The 18,969-nt window shown below is 46.0% G+C and overlaps 1 long non-coding RNA gene across 1 annotated transcript, besides 1 other annotated feature; it reads right to left on the reverse strand.

The window, feature by feature from the left end:
• Positions 1 to 394: 394 nt before the first annotated feature.
• Positions 395 to 17,340, reverse strand: LINC01280 (long intergenic non-protein coding RNA 1280). Its single transcript, NR_110392.1, has 4 exons — positions 17,264 to 17,340; positions 9,038 to 9,426; positions 5,586 to 5,645; positions 395 to 1,485 (listed from the first exon to the last, which is right to left on the reverse strand). It is a non-coding gene; the product is annotated as a long intergenic non-protein coding RNA 1280 (long non-coding RNA).
• Positions 13,355 to 14,076: an enhancer, noted in NCBI's record as "H3K4me1 hESC enhancer chr2:217467676-217468397 (GRCh37/hg19 assembly coordinates)". NCBI's record gives its function as "activates a minimal SCP1, AML or CMV promoter by ChIP-STARR-seq in primed H9 embryonic stem cells {active_cell/tissue: H9 hESC(primed)}" and the evidence as "EXISTENCE:reporter gene assay evidence [ECO:0000049][PMID:30033119]".
• Positions 17,341 to 18,969: the final 1,629 nt, after the last annotated feature.

Raw genomic sequence — 18,969 nt, forward strand, 5'->3', positions numbered from 1 at the left:
TGCATAATTTGCACAAAATTTAAAACTCACACAAAACAGGACCAAATGTTATTCCCGGATACCTAGATTGAAAAAGAAGATTCTGCGAGGAGTGGACCAGGCTGAACACAGGAGTGGAATTATTTTTTCCAGAGTGTAGGCCCCCGTGAGAGCCAGAACCACAGGTCGGGAAGAGTGTTTGGACTCAGCCCTGGGTTTAAATCTGTCCTCTGCCACCCTGAGCACTGTGATTGTAGTTATTTAAGTTATTTAAATTGCAGTTTCATTGTTCTTCAAAAGGGGAAAGTAATATTTGTCATGCCTGTGCCACAGGGTGGTTTACAGGCTCTTATGGAAAAAATGTGTGTGTAATAGCTTTGTAAGCTGTAAATAACTTCAAATGTAAGACATTATTGCTTTGCTCATTTATTTGTTTATTACCAGTCCAAGTACTCCCATTATCCTAGCTAAACATAGTGTTTTCACAAAGTTAAACAAAGTTAAAGTACCGTAATAATTCAGTCCAGTCTGTCCTTCATTTTATTACTGTTATCAGGGGAACATGGGCTGGAATGGGGCTTTATCCAGTCATTCTTTTCACTTCTTTTTTCTTCTATTGGATCCATCATTCATTCAACACACAGTAACTGAGACCCTGCTGAGGGACAGACATCCCACAACTCACCAGGGCAATGAAGGCATGTGGCATTGTCTTTCCTGGGGGAGCTTGTTGGCTAGTGAGGGTTTTACATCCCATCAACAGAAAGGAAGGAACTCTCCCCACCTCCATTCACACTGAAGCTCAACTAAGTTCTATTTTAATTTTTGCCAAGCCAAAGCAGATTGTCCTCTGTTTCTAGAGATTAATTTGACGTCTGCCTGGGCCTCTGCTGGCTTTCCTCATTTTAGTTTTCCTGAGACCCGTCAGTTTTCTGCGTGGTGTGTAAATTGGCTTTCGAGACTCACAGTCTTTAGGCTTATTCTCAGAAGTATAGTCTCCATCTTCAGTATGTCTAACCAAACAAATTCCTCACTCCTTAGGGCTAAACTACTGAAACCATCCTTGGAAAGACTACTTTTAATTTTTTGATTTGTCACAGCTATGGAATATGATATCCTCTCCTTAAGCTGTAAACGCCTTAAAGACAAAAGCCTTTTTTCTCCCAAATTGTCCTAGATTCTAATTCCCACAGCTCAATATATGTTGAAGTGCTGGCCATGGGGTCTGTCATCTCTCTGGGGGAACCAACACTCAGGAAGGATGCGTCCACATTTCTCCTTAATCTGCTGCTTCCTTGGGGTGACTCCCTAAGCCAGAGCTGGGAACATGAAAAGCTGAGTCTCAGCCACGGTCATGCCCTCTGGAGGTCGATCACAGCCAGCTGGAGAAGTTCACCCAGGGGCTGTAGGAAGTACTGCCAAGAAGTGGAGGAGTGAAGCATCTGTCCGTGTGGGACGTGGGTACAGTTCCAGGGGAGGGTGTCACGGGTTTCTTATGGCCACGTACTGCGGAGCACAGCAGAGACGATACTTAAAATGAGAATTAGGTCTCAATGCCTTCTCTAAACTATTTGCTTAAAAAATAATAATCTCCTGGCAAGGCATAGTGGCTCACTCCTGTAATCCCAGCACTTTGGGAGGCTGAGGCGGGCAGATCACTTGCAGTCAGGAGTTCAAGACTGGCTTGGCCAACGTGGTGAAACCCTGTCTCTACTAAAAATACAAAAATTAGCCAGGCGTGGTGGCACGCGCCTGTAATCCCAGCTGCTTGGGAGGCTGAGAGAGGAGAGTCATTTGAGCCTGGGAGGCAGAGGTTGCAGTGAGCCGAGATCGCGCCACTGCATTACAGCCTGGGTGACAGAGTGAGGCTCTATCTCAAATAAATAAATAAATAAATAAATAAATAAATAAACTCACTCACTCACTCTCTTGGTAACATCCCCCATGCCAGCTCCACCCCAATGCATATCTCGTCCAACTGAGCCCCTTCCCACTGCTCCCTCCCATGGTTTTCCCCCATTCTCTCTAATCCCTTCCATTGCTGACATCTTGAGGTTTCATTTGTTTCTTTTTTTTCTAAGCAAAGACTCTCCTGCAGCTGGTTCCTTTCCCATGCACGCTCAGGCCCATCTATCCTTCCGCTTACCCCGAATACCTGTGCACCAGGAGCTGTTCTTCCTTGGAAAACTTCACCTCCCCGTCCCCTGAGACAGGAGGGCAGCCAGCTTATGGCTCCTCTGTGGTCCCAATTCTGTATTATTGTTCGTCTACCATCAACTAAATGCCTTTTCTTGGTTGTTGTTTATTTTGGTAAAGATACGCATACCATAAAAATAAGTTGCAATAGCCATTAACTTGGGTTAATGGCATGCTCACTCCACAAATATCACAGAGGCTATAGGCAGGAGACCAACAGAGCCTCAGTCCTGGTTGTAGAGGACTGGTTCATAGAGACAACATTGAATTGATATACCATTTCTGAGCATGATCCCACATGGGCAATGCCTCACTCTACCCCATCCCTAAACTCTGCCCCAGCCCCAGGCAAGTGACAAACCATCAGAGAGTGAGCGTCTACCCCTCACGATGTCTTACCAATGTGGGAAATGGGGAAAAGGGGCACATGGGGTTCTGGGGTTCAGTGAAGCTCAGAAGATTGGCTTTCGAGACTCACAGGCTTTAGGCTTATTCTCAGAAGTATAGTTTTTATCTTCAGTATGTCTAACCAAACAAATTCCTCACTCCTTAGGGCTAAACTACTGAAACCAAACATTTCCTCTACACGCTATTCTTCTGGACATCCGTATCAATGATCCGTCTATTGTTTGGATCCCTGAAAGCACCACAAAGGGATGTTTGTTGCAATTCAGGAGTGGGCTCTAGCTCACTCCCTATAATCTCCATCAATACCTTCCCTAAGTGAATTCTCCCAAAATCGAAGATAAGACAATTGTCTTCTTAGCAAACATAGCTTCGAGATACATCCACAGGATGATCTTCCCACCAGACTGCCCCCTCTCCTCTCTGAGTACTGGATGCACTGCTACCCTAAAGGCGCAGCCATACCATCAACTGCTACTTAAGGCTGTAACTTTGCATCAGAGCCCACCAGGCAGCTGTGTCAGCTTCAGTCATGCTCTGATTGCACCCTCTTTACCCTCTTTACCTGCTTCCCTCCCTTGAGTCAACCTTTCATGATCCTTGGGATGTGCCCCAAGATAAAGCAGCCCAAGGCAATGGTGGGGCACATGGAGTATAAATACTGGAACTGAAATTCACTAGCCATGCCACATTGTCCAAGTCACTTTCCCTCTCTGTTCCTCTCAGCTCTTTCATAGTTGAATGAGGCCACTGGAACCAATAATCTTCCAATTCCAGGTCTATAGGTCCATGGTGGTGTTGCTTTGATACCTCCATAATGTGTCCAAATGCCACAACAACCAGCCCATTGTTGGGTCTCCAGCCATTGGGACGTTTTCATCCCCTGACTTCCTGCTTTGCTCTTTTTTGCCCATGCTTAATCATAGCTCATCTTGATCATCCGCACGTGGAATCTGCCATTCCCTGGACTCGTCTCTCAGATGGCAAAGTGGTTCTGGAATCTGATTGGGTCCTAAGTTTTGCTCTGTTTTGTTGTTACAAATCATGCCCTTTAATCTAAGCTGACTCTCACTGTTGCTAAGGACCCCTTTTACGTATCCCTGAAGAACCATTATTACACACCTCAGCTTGTCTATTGCGAACATTTTTTAACCCAACTTCCCATCTCTAGCAGATGCTCTCAAGCTGGATCCATACCTTCTCAGCTTGTGCTCTGTCCAGGCATGCTTCCAACCACCTGCGCCTGGCTGCCAGAGCGGCTGTGTCCATGGCACTGCCCCCTAATGTGACCCTTAGAAGCACCCCCAAACCAAACACTGGTGGGAGCTGGCGGATCAATGAGCCGGCTTTCTCACCTTTCTAGAAGGATACTTTTGAGAGGTGTGTTCTGTGCTGGTTTCTGGAGTTCTCCACTGGACAAAGCTGCAGACACCATGGCAGACACTGGCCTGAGAGGGCATCCTTTGCTGAGCACCTTCCCTTCCATCTCATCTCTCCACTCCCTTACGGTTGCTTCTGGAATCAATTCCCACGTAAACTAATTGTCCCAAATCCTCATCCTGGAGTCTGTTTTGGGATACCCAAACCAAAACACCATCTCTCTTCCATCTCTATCTCTCATAGCCAATAACCTCATATCCTATTTTGTGGGGACATAAGGCTGGTTGAGTTTATGGGGAGAGCTGTATAGCCTTACTCATGTGCCTCTGTATCCAAACCTTAAAACTTTGTAGGGTCTTGCTTAACCACTCTCCCCACCACTCAGCTTTTTTTTTTTTTTTTTAATCGCCTTTATTTCTTTTCTCTACTGGCATGTTTCTTTCTGTCTTTAACCTGTTGGGAAGGAAAATACACCTTTCCTTGAACCTGTTCCATAACCTACCGACCTTCCCTCCCCTCAGAAGCATCTCCCTGGAATTGTGAAGGCTCTTCACCTTGGCATGACCTACCCATTCCTCCTTCCTTTGTGACCTGGTTTCCATCCAGGTCACTCTGGTAGTGCCATGGCAAGATCATCACTGCCACCTCATTTTCCAAATCCACTAGCCTTTTCTTATCCTCATCATATTTTCCTTGACTGTTTATCTTTTGCCTCACTTTAACCTGTTTGTTATACTTGGCGTTGGGTAATATTGTGAAACCCCATTGCAATCACATCACTCTCCTGGTTACAAGTTTTTGAGGGTGCCTACTGGTAAAGGGATTAAAGCTGTTTTCTTAATTCACACATTTCATCTTCCATGGATGAACTCTAGCTTTTCAGCTCATCTTGCAAGCCCTCCACTACAGGTAATTGGTCTACTAATGAGCCTCCAACTATCCAATATCCATTTTTGCCTCCCAGAGATACCTTAAGCCAAAATGCCCTCATTTCTCCTTCTTACTTTTTTTCATGTCCCCACCCAGGGCAATTTTATCCTGATTTACAAAGTCTTTCCCATTTTCTCCCAGCCCTGCTTCCTTATCTAAGCCCTCATGGGCATTCATTGCCTTGGCCTATTCTTTCGTACTTTCCTATTTCCTTCGTCAAGTGTGTGCCCTTTCTCTTCAATAAGACAGGGACTGTTTATAACCCTAGAACCTGATCCATGGCATTCCATGTATGTTTGCTGATGATGACAAAGATAAAATAGAATGTCTAAGTCAGTGTCAAAGAAGTCACATACTGCTGGGTGCGGTGGCTCACACCTGTAATCCCAGCACTTTGGGAGGCTGAGGTGGGTGGATCATGAGGTCAGGAGTTTGAGACCAGCCTGACCAATATGGTGAAACCCCGACTCCACTAAAAATACAAAAATTAGCCAGGTGTGGTGGTGGGTGCCTGTAATCCCAGCTATTTGGGAGGCTGAGGTAGGAGAATCGCTTGAACCCAGGAGGCAGAGGTTGCAGTGAGCTGAGATCATGCCACTGCACTCCAGCCTGGGTGACAGAGTGAGACTCCCACTCAAAAAAAAAAAAAAAAGAAAGAAAGAAAGAAAGAAAGAAAAAAAAAGTCATATACTTGCCCTCCTGCAGCTTAGCCTCTGGCAGATGGAAGACTGAAGAGCTTCTCCCATCAGAGGTGGCTGGAACACAGTTGTGAGGGTGTTATCTTTGGAGCCTCCTCCCTTTTCCCTCCATGGGCATCACACCAGGCTCCCCCCTAGGTTTACTCCAGCAGAGCCTGGTCTCAGCCTATTGTTTATGACATCTCTTTGGAGACTTTTGGGAAGGGTGACACCCAAATTATCTTATTAAAGACTTTATTTTTATTTTTATTTTTTGAGGCCGAGTCTCATTCTGTTGCCCAGGCTGGAATGCAGTGATGCGATCTCGGCTCACTGCAGCCTCTGCCTCCCAGGTTCAAGCAATTCTCGTGCCTCAACCTCCTGAGTAGCTGGGATTAAAGGCGCCCACCTCCATGCCCAGCTAATTTTTTTATGTTTTTAGTAGAGATAAGGTTTCACCATGTTGGCCAGGCTGGTCTCGAACTCCTGGCCTCAAGTGATTCACCCACCTCGACCTCTCAAAATGCTGGAATTACAGGTGTAAGCCACCGTGTCTAGCCCCAAATTATCTTTTGATAGATATACCCCAACACCCCGAAAGGGAAAGAAATTTGTCCAAGGCCATGTGCTAATAAGTGGCAGAGTCAAGACTGGAATTCTCCTCTCCTCTATCCCAATCCAGGGGGCTTTTTCCCAGGCCTGGGTGAAAATTCAACTTCACCCTGTGCAGGAGGCAACAGGAGTCTTTGCATTATCTAGGCAAAGACTACAGCTTTGGAGGCAGCTGGGCCTGTCACTTACTAACTCTTTGACCTTGGGGTAATAATTTAATTTTTCAAATCCCAGTTTCCTCAGGCATAAAAGTGGGCATAATACCATCTATCTCAAAGAGTTATTGTGAGAATTAAATTAGATGGCATATAGAATTTTACATTGGGAGGAGGTATGGCATTTTGTTGAGAAGACGGGCTTGGGTTTGAACCTTGGCTTTGTAATTTCTTGGTGGTATAACCTAGGGGGAATTATTTGACTTCTGAGAGAAAGACCTCAGTTTCCTTATACGTAAAATGAGGATAATAATAACTGTACTTCATTTATAGGAATAAAGGAGATAATGTGTAGCCAGTGCTCAGCAGGGTGCCTGGCACATGGGGAAACTTCTGCTCTTATGGATGATCACACTATGTCAGGCGCATGGCAGACTTCCAGAGAATGTTAGTTTCCGGTTTCCTTTGCGAGCAAATACTATAAACAGGATAATGGGAAACACATTTTAACAACGAGAGACAGACAGAGAGAGAGAAACGTTTTCTGGGACTTTAGGGCAACTTAGGCAACCACTGTTCCTAATTACCAGCTCTGTCGTGTTATTTGTGTTTGTGCTTCTCTCCTGCACTAACCTACGAGCACCCTCAGGGTGGAGTCATGGCTATTTATCTTTGCTTTCCCAGCAGGCAAACAGTATCAGGTACATAGTGGGCGATCAAAAATGTGTGCTGAATCATTGTCATAATTGGCTTTTTAGGAAAAATAATGGAAGCAGTACATGAAAAAGGAAATGCAAAGTAGCATGAATATGTATTTGGTGGAATGTAAATATAAGATAGTAACATCCTAGAGAGCTTTCTGTTTGTCAGGGACTGTGAGTGTGTAATGATGTGTTCAGTTCTGGCCACAAATCCTACAAGGTGTGTACTATTATTATCCCCATTTTATGGATAAAGAAATTGGGGCACAGAGAGGTTAAGAAACTTGTTGGAGGTTATATAACTAGTGAGCAGTAGAACTGCATTGGAATCCAGGTGGCTTGGCTGCAGAGACTGGTCTTCTAACCAGTATTCTGTACTCCCCTCCTTACGATTAAGCACTAAATTAGCCTCGGGCAGTTGTGAAGGTTAAATGAATGTAAACCACAATGCCCATCACATAGTGAATGCCCAGTAACCATTAGCTCTTTACCAAAAAAGTCCCACCTACCCACATAGCTCAGGCCACCAGAGATCTGGCAAGCTTGTAAGGCCAGAGGGATTAATTCTGCACAAGTGTTTGCAATAGTAACAGGGATTCCTTTAAAAAGCAGTTTTGCTGACTAATTAATTAACTGAACTCCCCTTGCACCTTCTACTTCCGTCTCTGCGCCTGTAATCCACACCATCTGGCAGTACAATTCTTTGTGTGGATATCTGTCTCTCCAACAGGACAGAAGAGATCTGATCATGTCTTATTAATTTTTCCATTTCCTGCCGTGCCTAGGACAGTGCTTGGCACAAAATAAGCATTCCATAAATAGTTGTGGAATTTTTGAGCTAAATTAAATATTCACAGTGGAAAAACAGGAATGAAATAGTCCATGAAAAGGCAGAAAGTAATCTGTAGCATCACAGTGCCAATGATTTATAAGATTTGATGCCTCCTTTTCATTAGGCAAATAATATATGTCCATGGTAGAAAAATGAGAAAATATAGATAAGCAAAGAAGAAAATGTTGAAATTGCCAATGATTCCGTTGTTAACACCTTAGTTTCTTTCTTTCTACTTCTCTTTAATGATAGGCAAACTCTTACAGGCTCGAGGTTCAAAGAACGATTCCCTTATAAGCAAATGCTTTTTCTTTTTAGAATAACTTTATGGAGGTGGACTTACATACCATTACATTCACCCTTAGGGAGTATTCAGTTTGATGACTTTGATTATTTATTTATTTATTTTTGAGACAGCGTCTCACTCTGTCACCCAGGCTGGAGTGCAGTGATGCAATCATAGCTCACTGCAGCATCAAACTCCTGGACTCCAGTGATCCTTCCACTCAGCCTCCTGAGTAGCTGGGACTATAGGCTCATACCTCCACGCCTGGCTAATTTTTAATTTTTTTTTTTGTAGACAGCATCTCACTATGTTGCCAAGGCTGGTCTCAAACTCCTGGCCTCAAGTGACCCCAAAGTGCTGGGATTGGCTGGGCGCCAGGGCTCGCGCCTGCAATTCCAGAGCTTTGGGAGGCCAAGGCGGGCGGATCATGAAGTCAGGAGTTTGAGACCAGCCTGGCCAACATGACAAAACCCTGTCTCTACTAAAAATACAAAAATTAGCTGGGGGTGGTGGCACGTGCCTGCAGTCCCAGCTACTCAGGAGGCTGAGGAAGGAGAATGGCTTGCCCCAGGAGGTGGAGGTTGCAGTGAGCTGAGATTATGCCACTGCACTCTAGCCTGGGCAGCAGAGTGAGACTCCATTTCAAACAAACAAACAAACAAACAAACGAACAAAAAACAAAGTGCTAGGATTACAGACATGAGCCCTTGTGCCTGGCTGACTTTTCGTATAATAAATTGATACATTTGTGCAACCATCACCACAATTTAGTTTTCAAATATTTCCATGCCTCCTAATGGGAAAATTTTTAAATTTAAGCATTTTAGATAAGCTTAATAGAAGAGCGCCCTGTGAGCTAAAACCATCTTTCTGCAGATTCATACCTGAATTACCCAGCAAGGTGGAGCACTGTGTGCCAAGACTGGGAGCCAGGAAACCTGGGCGGCTTGGTGTTCTGAATTTCTCCATGTCCTTAGAAAGTGGCTTTACTTCTCTTCCTACATCTTCCTGGGTCCCCATTAGGGAGGCAGAACTTCCCATGTCCTGACTTATCAGGTAATTTTAATTTTTGCATTACATATTCACTTCTTTTCTCTCTACTCGTTTTTTTTTTTTTTTGTCCTTTCTCCACTTTCCTCTCCCATCCCCCATGGCTGAGACAGGTTGCAGCAGCTCATCCATTGGGCATCTTTGGGCATCTCTGGGCATGTCTTCACTGAGACACCAGCTCCATTTTCTTCCACTCCGATCTTCCTCGATTCTGGTCTCTACCCTGCAACCAGAAGGAGCCTAGTCCAAACCTAATCAGAGCCTGTCGCTCCCCTGCTCAAAGCTCTCCCATGGCTTCCCATCCCACCTAGCATAAAATGCAGACTCCTTGGCATGACCTTCAAGATACCTGCCCAGTCATCCAACCTCATCTGCTAGCACTCTCTTCTCTGTTCACTTTCCCTGTCACGAGGGTCTACTTGCAGGTCCTAGAACATGCCACATTTGTTTTCACCCCACAGCCTTTGCACTTGCTGCTCTCCCTCATTTACTTACTTTCTCATTTCACTGGTCTCTGCTCAAATGTCACCTCCTTGGGGAGGCCTTCCTTGGCTACTGATGGAGTGCAGGACATGCTACCCTTGTGGGAAATACGGGGTAGCTACAAATGCTACACCTTGTACACCTTCACCCCCATGCTACAAATGTAGCACCTTGGAATTCACTCTCTGACCTTCTCCCACTCCCTTTTTTTTTTTTTGGAGATGGAGTTTCACTCTGTCACCCAAGTTGGAGCGCAGTGGCGCGATCTCGGCTCACTGCAACCTCCGCCTCCCAGGTCCAGGCGATTATCCTGCCTCAGCCTTCCAAGTAGCTGGGACTAGAGGTGCCCACGACCACGCCTGACTAATTTTTGTATTTTTAGTAGAGATGGGATTTCACCATGTTGGCCAGGATGGTCTCGAACTTCTGACCTCATGATCTGCCCGCCTTGGCTTCACAAAGTGCTGGGATTACAGGAATGAGCCACCGTGCGCAGCCTCTGCCATCTTTCTGTGTGAGAGCTGGCCTTTAAATAGTTCCCTGACTTACCACCCCTGAAAGTAGGTCATAAGACCCTCATGTGATAGGTATCCTGCCCTATACCCAGAGAAAAGGAATGAAGACAGAGAGATGCCAAGAAGAATCTAAACAAACAGGCCTTGCTAAGTTTCCCCCACTTTCTCACCATTAGACCACACTACCTTTGTCCAATCATAATTTACATAACTGTCCATTCTTCATCAAACCTAAACATAAAAATACACAGTTTTTTCTCTCTTTGGGTCTTCACTTCTGAAGACTCCTGTATCACATAAACATATTAAATCGGTACAGTTTTTCCCTTGTTAATCGTTCTTTGTTATAGGGGAGTCAGCCATGAACCTTGGAGCAGGTAAGGAAAAGCTATTACTTTTTCTCCCCACACTACTCTGTCTTAGCATGGCCTAGCCCTCCTCCACCATCACTCCCCACCCATTTGCCTTGCTTGCTATGTTCCTTTTTGTAGCAGGATCTGCAGTTATATCATAAGCTCAACATTCATTGAATGAATGAATAATTGGTTAACACACAATTTGCTTTGACTTATGAAGATACACCCATTAAAAAGCGTGACCCAGCTGGGTGAGGTGGCTCATGCCTGTAATCCTAGTACTTTGGGAGGCCAAGGTGGGTGGATCACCTGAGGTCAAGAGTTTGAGACCAGCCTGGCCAACATGGTGAGCCCTCATCTCTACCAAAAATACAAAAATTAGCCTGGCATGGTGGTGGGTACCTGTAATCCCATCCCAGGTACTCAGGAGGTAGAGGCAGGAGAATTTCTTGAACCAAGAAGGCAGAGGTTGCAGTGAGCCAAGATCACGCTATTGCACTCCAGCCTGGGCAATAGAGCAAAAAAACTCCATCTCAAAAAAAAAAAAAAGTGTGACCTGAAGGATCTGAATATGTGACAGTGCTATGCTTAGGATGTTCATGTCAATGTTCGTGTCCCCTCCAACACTCATGTTAAAACTTCATCCCCAGTGCAACAATATTAAGAGGTGAGGACTTTTGGAGATGGTTAGGCCATGAGGGCTCTGCCATATGTACCTTGTAAAAGGGCTTGAGGGGGTAAGTTTGTCCCTTTCACCATGTGAGGACATCACGTTTGTCCCCTTGGAGGATGCAGCAACAAGGTACCATCTTGGAAGCACAAACTTGGCCCTCACCAGGCACTGAATCTGCCAGCACCTTGATCTTGGACTTCCCAGCTTCCAAAACTGCAAGAAATAGATTCCTATTCCGTAAAAGTTGCCCATCCTCAGATATTTTGTTGAAGTAGCACAAATGGACTAAGACAGATATAGGGTGTAAGAAGAAGGCTTGCACAGGGGAGGTGGTTTCTGGGGTCTGTCTACCTGGCTTCAGATTCACCACGTAATAGCTATTTTCATCTAAAATAAGGTGCTATTTATAGTGCCTACTTCATTCATTTATTGTCATCATCATCATCACTCTTTCAAAATAGGGGCCTAGAATCTCAATAATGCCTCATGAGAAGTGGCTTTGGCAGCATGTAAGGAATAACATGGCGGTGGTGTTGGTATTCCTATAGTACAAGGCAGTGGTTCTGAAAGTATGTTTCCTAGGTCAGCTCCATCAGAAGCTGAAACTCCATCAAGCAGAAACTCTGGGTGGGCCCAGCAATCTGGTTTTGTTTGTTTGTTTGTCTGTTTGTTTTTTTGTTTTTAGACAGAGTTTCACTCTGTCACCCAGGCTGGAGTGCAATGGTGTGATCTTGGCTCACTGCAACCTCTGCCTCCAGGGTTCAAGCGATTCTCCTGTCTCAGCCTCTCAAGTAGCTGGGATAACAGGCACATGCTACCACGTCTGGCTAATTTTGTATTTTTAGTAGAGACAGGGTTCCACCATGTTGGCCAAGCTAGTCACGAACTCCTGACCTCAAGTGATCCATCTGCCTCGGCCTCCCAAAGTGCTGAGATTACAGGCATGAGACATGGCGCCCGGCCACCAGCAATCTGTTTCAACAAGCCCTTTTGGCTGGTTCTGATGCACACTCACGTTTGAGAACCACTTGGATAAGGTAGAAAACTGGTACCTACAGGTTGAGTCAGACTCACAGACATTTTTGCTTGTCCTGCATGATGGTTGGACATTTTGAAATTACCTGTCCACATTTACAATTTTGGAGATTTCACATAAAATCACAGATTTTCAGCTTCTTTGGCTGGAATGGAGTAGTAGCTGCCCCTTGAGACACAGCAAGGATTCTCCAGTTTGCCGTATCCCTACTACGGCCTGTTGTTATACCTAGCAAGGTTTATTTGTTCCCTTTACCTGTCTGGCCCCTGCAACACCTGTTACGGAACTGTTTATCATCAAGGTCAATGCCATTCCATAGAAACCCTTCATTGCACAGATGAGGAAGCAAAATCCCCACTAGGGAGGTGGCTTTGTTGCCCGTCATGGCCAATTCCAGACAGAACTCAGAGCCAAGTGACGCCCAGATCTGCTCTCTCGAGGGAACTGAGGCCAAGATGGGCAGAGGCATTAGAGCCTCTCAGGGACCCAGTCCTGCCAACCCTGCCCAGGACTCCAGTGTGAAGACACTGAGATACTTTCAAGGATAAGACTCTGGAGGATGCAGAAAATTTCCCTTTTGTCATGGAGTTTGGGTGTGAGGAGAGGGCCAGTGAGCTGGTGGAGAGGTCTGTTCATTTTCCCAGCTCGCAACCTGACAGAAGGGCAGAGGGGGTGCTCTGTACAGAGGGTCCTGGCTGTCTGCAAGGCCCCGCTCAGACACTGGGCTTTCTCCTGCAAAGCAAGCATCCCCCAGACACTGCTAGGGCAGAAGCTGCAAAGTACGAAGCCAAGGGGTCCCCTGGCTACAGTGATGGTGGCCATAGCTAGGTTGGCTTAATCCTGAGCAAACCGTTCCTGACTTTGCGAGGTTCCAGAGAGTTCCCTCAGCGAGGAGGAGGAGGGCCTTGCAGGGCAAAACAGCCCTCCAGGAAAACATCTTCCGCAGACTGAGCCAGTGGTGTTGCTGGGCTGAGCCCCTGCTTGCCCCAGACATCACTTCCAGCCTTCCCCAGTCTTTCCTTCACCTGCACCCAGGCTGCTTCTCTTCCCCAGCTGGCTCCTGAAGAACATTCCTTGCCTCCTGTTTCAGGGACTTCTCTCCAGGTAGTCTTTCAGTTCTTTCTCTCCTCTTCATCCTCCCTCCAGCTTAATCCCTCTCTCCCCTCAGAAACGTCTTTCCCTCACAATTGACCCCAGGCCTCTGACTTTGCTTTGTACATAACCTGGAGCATGCTCTGATGATAAAATGCCAAACCGCATCCCTTGGTCGCCGGCTCTTTTCCTGCCAGCCCCAGCACCACCAGCATCTGTGGCAGCTCCCGGGCTCCCAGCTTGTCTGGCACCCAGAGCACCTTTCTGGCACCCTACACTGGGAGGGTGGGGGAGGAGGAGCTGGGCTTCCAGGGAGAGAAAGGCTGGGCAGTTTTGATTCTCAGAGGCAGGGAGGATGAAGGAAGGGGTGAATACAGTGTGAGGAAGGGGAGGAGAGGAAGGGGAGGGGAGGAGGAGGTGGAGGAGGGGGAAGTGGTGTTTGCTTGAAGGTCAGAGGGGAACTGGAGTGTTGAAAAGCATGAAGGGCAGAATTATGGGGATGGTGATTTAACCTAAAGCAGTGGTTTCAAATTTCTTGGACTATGACACCCGGTAAGAAACACATTTTACATCACAACCCAGCAAACTACACTATGTGTGTGCACACGTGTCCACACATACACCATACATCCTGAAAAATCAAATTTCACATGAGGATACTTATGCTTACTACATGCGATACACTAATATTTCTATTATATTCTTTTTTCCATATGCTTATCTTTTGTATATAATTATAATAAGTAGTCATTAAACAAGGATACTATTATACCTATTAAAGTGATTTCATAATCCACTAGTGATTCATAAACCACAGATTGAAAAAACGATAAATATAGGCAGTGAGAGTGAATTTATTACTGGCTCCTAAATCTATGAAGGGTGATTAATAAATAATGATATTTATAAATAATGATAGCAAATAGACATAGTTCTCAGCAGTTTTACATGCATGATTTTATTCAGTCTTATAAATCTATTAGGTACTATTATTATTCCCATTTTACAAATGAAGGAACAGACACGCCCGAGAGTTCAAATAACTTTGCTCAAGATGGTAAGTGGCAGAACCAGGATTCAACCCTTCCAGCCTGACGCAACAGCCACAGTCCAATATTCAGACATTCCTGCTGTTAAAGACATTATTCAATGACATTTGCTAAACCAGAGTAAGGAAGACTTTACTCAGGACTATCCCTATACATTTAGGGACCACTGCAATGAGGTCTCACAGCAGGGGAGAGAGACTGGGCTCACCTGGGCAAGTGGGGATTTGTAGCCAAGGAGCAGGGTGGGGGTCAGTGGATGGAAAATTACTGAGAGTAAACATTAGAGGTAAGGGGGATTCTGGCCAAACAGAGCTAACAGGATTCTTGCTGAAGACAGGCCAGGGTGATCAGACAGCACCTGGGGGATGGTAGAGGATGAGGAACCTGATCAGCTAGAAACAGTGTCCAGATCTCAAGGATCAGGGAGCTTCTTGCTAGACTGATTTAGCAGGGCTCTTTGCTAAAACTGGATTTTACAAGAAAGAATCTCAGAGGAGATTCAGAAGCCTAACTGAAGTTTGTCCAAGCAAAGAATCTTTGTCACTGCACAAGGTGACCTGTATACATTCATCCAGTCATTCATTTGGAGCTTTGAGCTTGGTGCTCCAGAGTGACAAATGACTGATGGTAGCTCCTGCCACTTGGATAGCTGTCAGCAGTAAGAGGGAAGCAGATCTGGAACACAGAAGTACTGACATCACAGAACCTGAGGAATCACAGAGTGGGGGCAGAGATCATCAAGGCCACCCCTCACTTCACAGATGGGAAACTGAGGCCCCAGGACCCCCAGAGCTAGAGGCTGAACCTGGCATGAACCCAAGAGCTCTAGGCAACCAAATCTGTTCTCTTCCCTTCAAGGGCCTCCCTGCAGGATTATGAGAAGCCAAGATGGTAAAGAGATATTTGTAGTTGCCATCTGGAGATTCTTTTGGGCAACATCATGATCTCCTGGAAAGAGAGGTGAGCAAATGCCCAGTTCTGCCCTGCTGTTCCTCAGCACCTGGCACCATGCCGGACACTAGCTACCTTCTGTGAGCATCACTTATACTGTCCATTTTCTTTTGGTCATGTGCACCCTCATCACTGCTCTGCTAGACTCTTCTTACATTTACCATTTCATCTTATATTTTAGTTAATTCTCATTGCATTTGAAATCTTCCCAACAGACTAGATCCATAAGTACGTTAAGAATGTGGAATGTGTCTGCCTTCTATACTACCATCTACTCAATTGCCGTGGACCATGCCTATCTCATAAGCAGATGCTGAATAAATGAATAAATGAATGGGCATTGGGGAACCATATCCTGAACTTCCCAACTGAAGCACTTCTCCTGGATTCCTAGTGGGCAGCTTTGTACATAGAAGTTGCTCCACACATGAGTTCATGTCCTTCATCCTTGGCAGCAAGCAGTAACTACTTATCCATGGATCAGGGTAGGGAGAACAAGAACCTCAGGGATAACACCACTGAACCTGCAGCTTCATTTCAGCCTGCAGAGAAAATACAACTGTGGCTATTGAGCCAGGCAGGTCAAGCCTTCCTGGGTCATCTAAAATGACTGCATGCTTGCTCTTCAGTCCTTTCCTTGCACCTGCATTTCTGAGGTGCCTTTGCCCTCTGGCTTCCAGGTAGCTGTGGCTGATTGGAGGAACTGGTAAATCACTGGAGGGCCACCAGAAGGAGGGGAGAAGCCGGCCATTCCTCCTTCTCCAGTCCCTCTACTTCCTGCCTTCTTGGGCAGCAGTTGACTCCTGTGTGGCCGCAGCTCCCTTGGGGGCAGCCCCCACCATCATTCTAGTACCTGCTAGATGTACAGTACTAAATTTTTAAAATAAAATACAGGCCACCAGTTAAATGTGAATTGCAGATAAACTGGATACTTTTTTTTTGGAGATGGAGTCTCACTCTGTCGCCCAGGCTGGAGTGCAGTAGAGCGATCTCGGCTCACTGCAACCTCTGCTTCCCAGATTCAAGCGATTCTCCTGTCTCAGCCTCCCTAGTAGCTGGGACAACAGGCGTGTGCCATCACACCTGGCTAATTTTTTGTATTTTTAGTAGAGACAGGGTTTCACAATGTTGGCCAGGCTAGTCTCGAACTCCTAACCTCAGGAGATCCACCCGCCTCTGCCTCCCAAAGTGCTGGGATTACAGGCGTGAGTCACCGTGCCTGGTCCAACTGGATACATTTTTATATTACATTTTTGATTATGATAAAGTACACATAACATAAATCTTACCATTTTAACCTTTTTAAAGTATACAATTCTGTGGCATTTAATGCACTCTATACTGACTTAAAATACTAGCAATTATTTGTTATTTATTTGAAATTCAGATTTAACTAGTGTTAAATACAATAACTGTTATTGTTAATACAATTGTAGTAGGGAATTGTATTGTATTGTAATAGGGTGACCGTTGCTCCTGGGCTCTGAAAAAGCACCTCTTGTTGTCACCCCTCCAGTCCAAGGAGGTTTTTCTAGCACCTCTGTAACCAATTACCTTCATTAAAGTCTCTGAATAAGACTTAGCGAACTCCCTCCCTCCTGCTTCCCTGGCTGGACCTTGACTGTACAAACAATGAGAAGTACCCACCCTCCAATCACCAAGAGTCCAGATATCACAATAAGGTCCCGGAGTGAGCTCCCATGTGCTTCCCTCCCGCCCAGCCTGCTCCATCATCAACCCCCTTCCTCATCAGCTCTCAATCCTCCCCAACTCCAGAAAGCAGGCCAGGTGTCTCTGTAATTCTCAGGTGCACCCCCACCCCCTGCCTGGGGTGATTGGTTCCATGTGTCTGTCTGCGGGGCCACCCGGCCCCCTCCTGGCCCCCCTTACCCGCCTTCCGCCCACCTGCCTTCCTTCCTCACAGCTTCGCTCTCGCCTCGCTGAGCCCTTCCTGTCGCACGTCTGACACGTCCCCTGCGTCTGCGGGCTCTCCTGCTCCCTCCCTGCCCTCTTTCAGACAAGACAAAGAAAAGAAAAGGGTGGCTCTTGTTGCATTCACTACTTTTATTAATGAATGCAAGAACAAAATCAGCTGGCCCTGCAGACGTCCTGCTGAACTGGGGTGCTGTAAAAGGAGATGGAATCCTAGCATTTTGGTTTTGAAAGGGACTTGAGGGGCGAATTAATCTCATTCCTGTACAATACGGGGTGCCTCTCCCAAAATCACGAAAACCAGAAACGCGGCAGGAGAGTCATGAACCCATGGAGGTGAACAGTTCAGCTGCTGGAATATAGACAAGTGGTTCCCAAAAGTACTTTACATCCTGAGAGCCTGAGTGTGTAGTGAGATGGATTGGCACAGCGCTACGCCAGGTGCGTGTGGCCTGTGCTGCTGGGGCAGTGTGTGTTGCTGCACCACAACGTGATAGCGATAGAGACGGAGAACACTCAGAAACTTCGGGAACTATTTGACATCTCTGCACCTTCCAACGCCTAATCGTTTTGCTAGTCATTCACTTTATGATTGTATTAAGTGTCAGTCTGTGATGAACTAAGGTGCAAAAACGGGTGCTTTGCCAGAGGTGATTTGAAAAGCACTCTTTCGGAGCCACACTCAGGAGTTGGGTCCAGTTTTGGAAAGAGGATAAATGTCTGGAGGCAAGTGACTTAACCTCTATGGATCTGAGTTTCTCCTCTGTAATATGGGGACAATCTTGACTCCTACCTCATGGGACTGTTGCAAGAATTCTACAAGTACATGACATAAGCACCGTGGGGCACCAGGCACACAGTGGGGAGGGTGTGTGATTATTTGTAGACGCTTCTTGACTTGAGTTGACCAAACCACCAAGATCATTGTCCACTGACTCTCTTTCTGGGAATCTCTGAGGACGTAGCTTCTATTCCCACTCTTTGATGGCTGTTATAATAATTACTGATCTTAAAGTTCGCTTCTTTCCATGGTGACATTTCCATCCCATCCTCTGTCTTGACTCACGGGACCTACAAGATGAAACCTGGGATCTCTGCATTGGACCCGAGCACTGGGTCCACCCTGAGGCCCCCTTGGAGCTGATGAGGGAAGCCAAGGGCAGTTATGGGGGTCTGAAGAGAAGGTGTTAAGCCATGAGAGGGAAAGGCCACAAAACCAGAATCACAAAATAGGCACTAAAATCGGGACTCCACAAGGGCAGCAGAAGGCAGACCATTAGAAAGAAATGTGGGACAGTGGGGCGTCATTGTGTTACTGTAAAGGAGTCCCAATCCAGACCTCAACAGAGGGTTCTTGGATCTCATGCAAGAAAGAATTCAGGGTGAGTCCATAGAGTAAAATGAAAGCAAGTTTATTAGAGAAGTAAGAAACAAAAGAATGGCTACTCCATAGGCAGAGTAGCCGCAAGGGCTGCTGGTTGGCTATTTTTATGATTATTTCTTGATCATATGCTAAACAAGGGGTGGATTGTTTATGAGTTTTCTGGGAAAGGTGGGCAATTCCTGAAACTGAGGATTCCTCCCCTTTTTAGACCAAATAGAGTAACTTCCACATATAATGAGCAGTGAGGACAACCATAGGTCACTTTCCTTGCCATCTTGGATTCAGTGGGTTTTGG

This window comes from Homo sapiens, chromosome 2 (genome assembly GCF_000001405.40).
Source record: "Homo sapiens chromosome 2, GRCh38.p14 Primary Assembly".
In the NCBI taxonomy this organism is placed as follows: domain Eukaryota; kingdom Metazoa; phylum Chordata; class Mammalia; order Primates; family Hominidae; genus Homo; species Homo sapiens.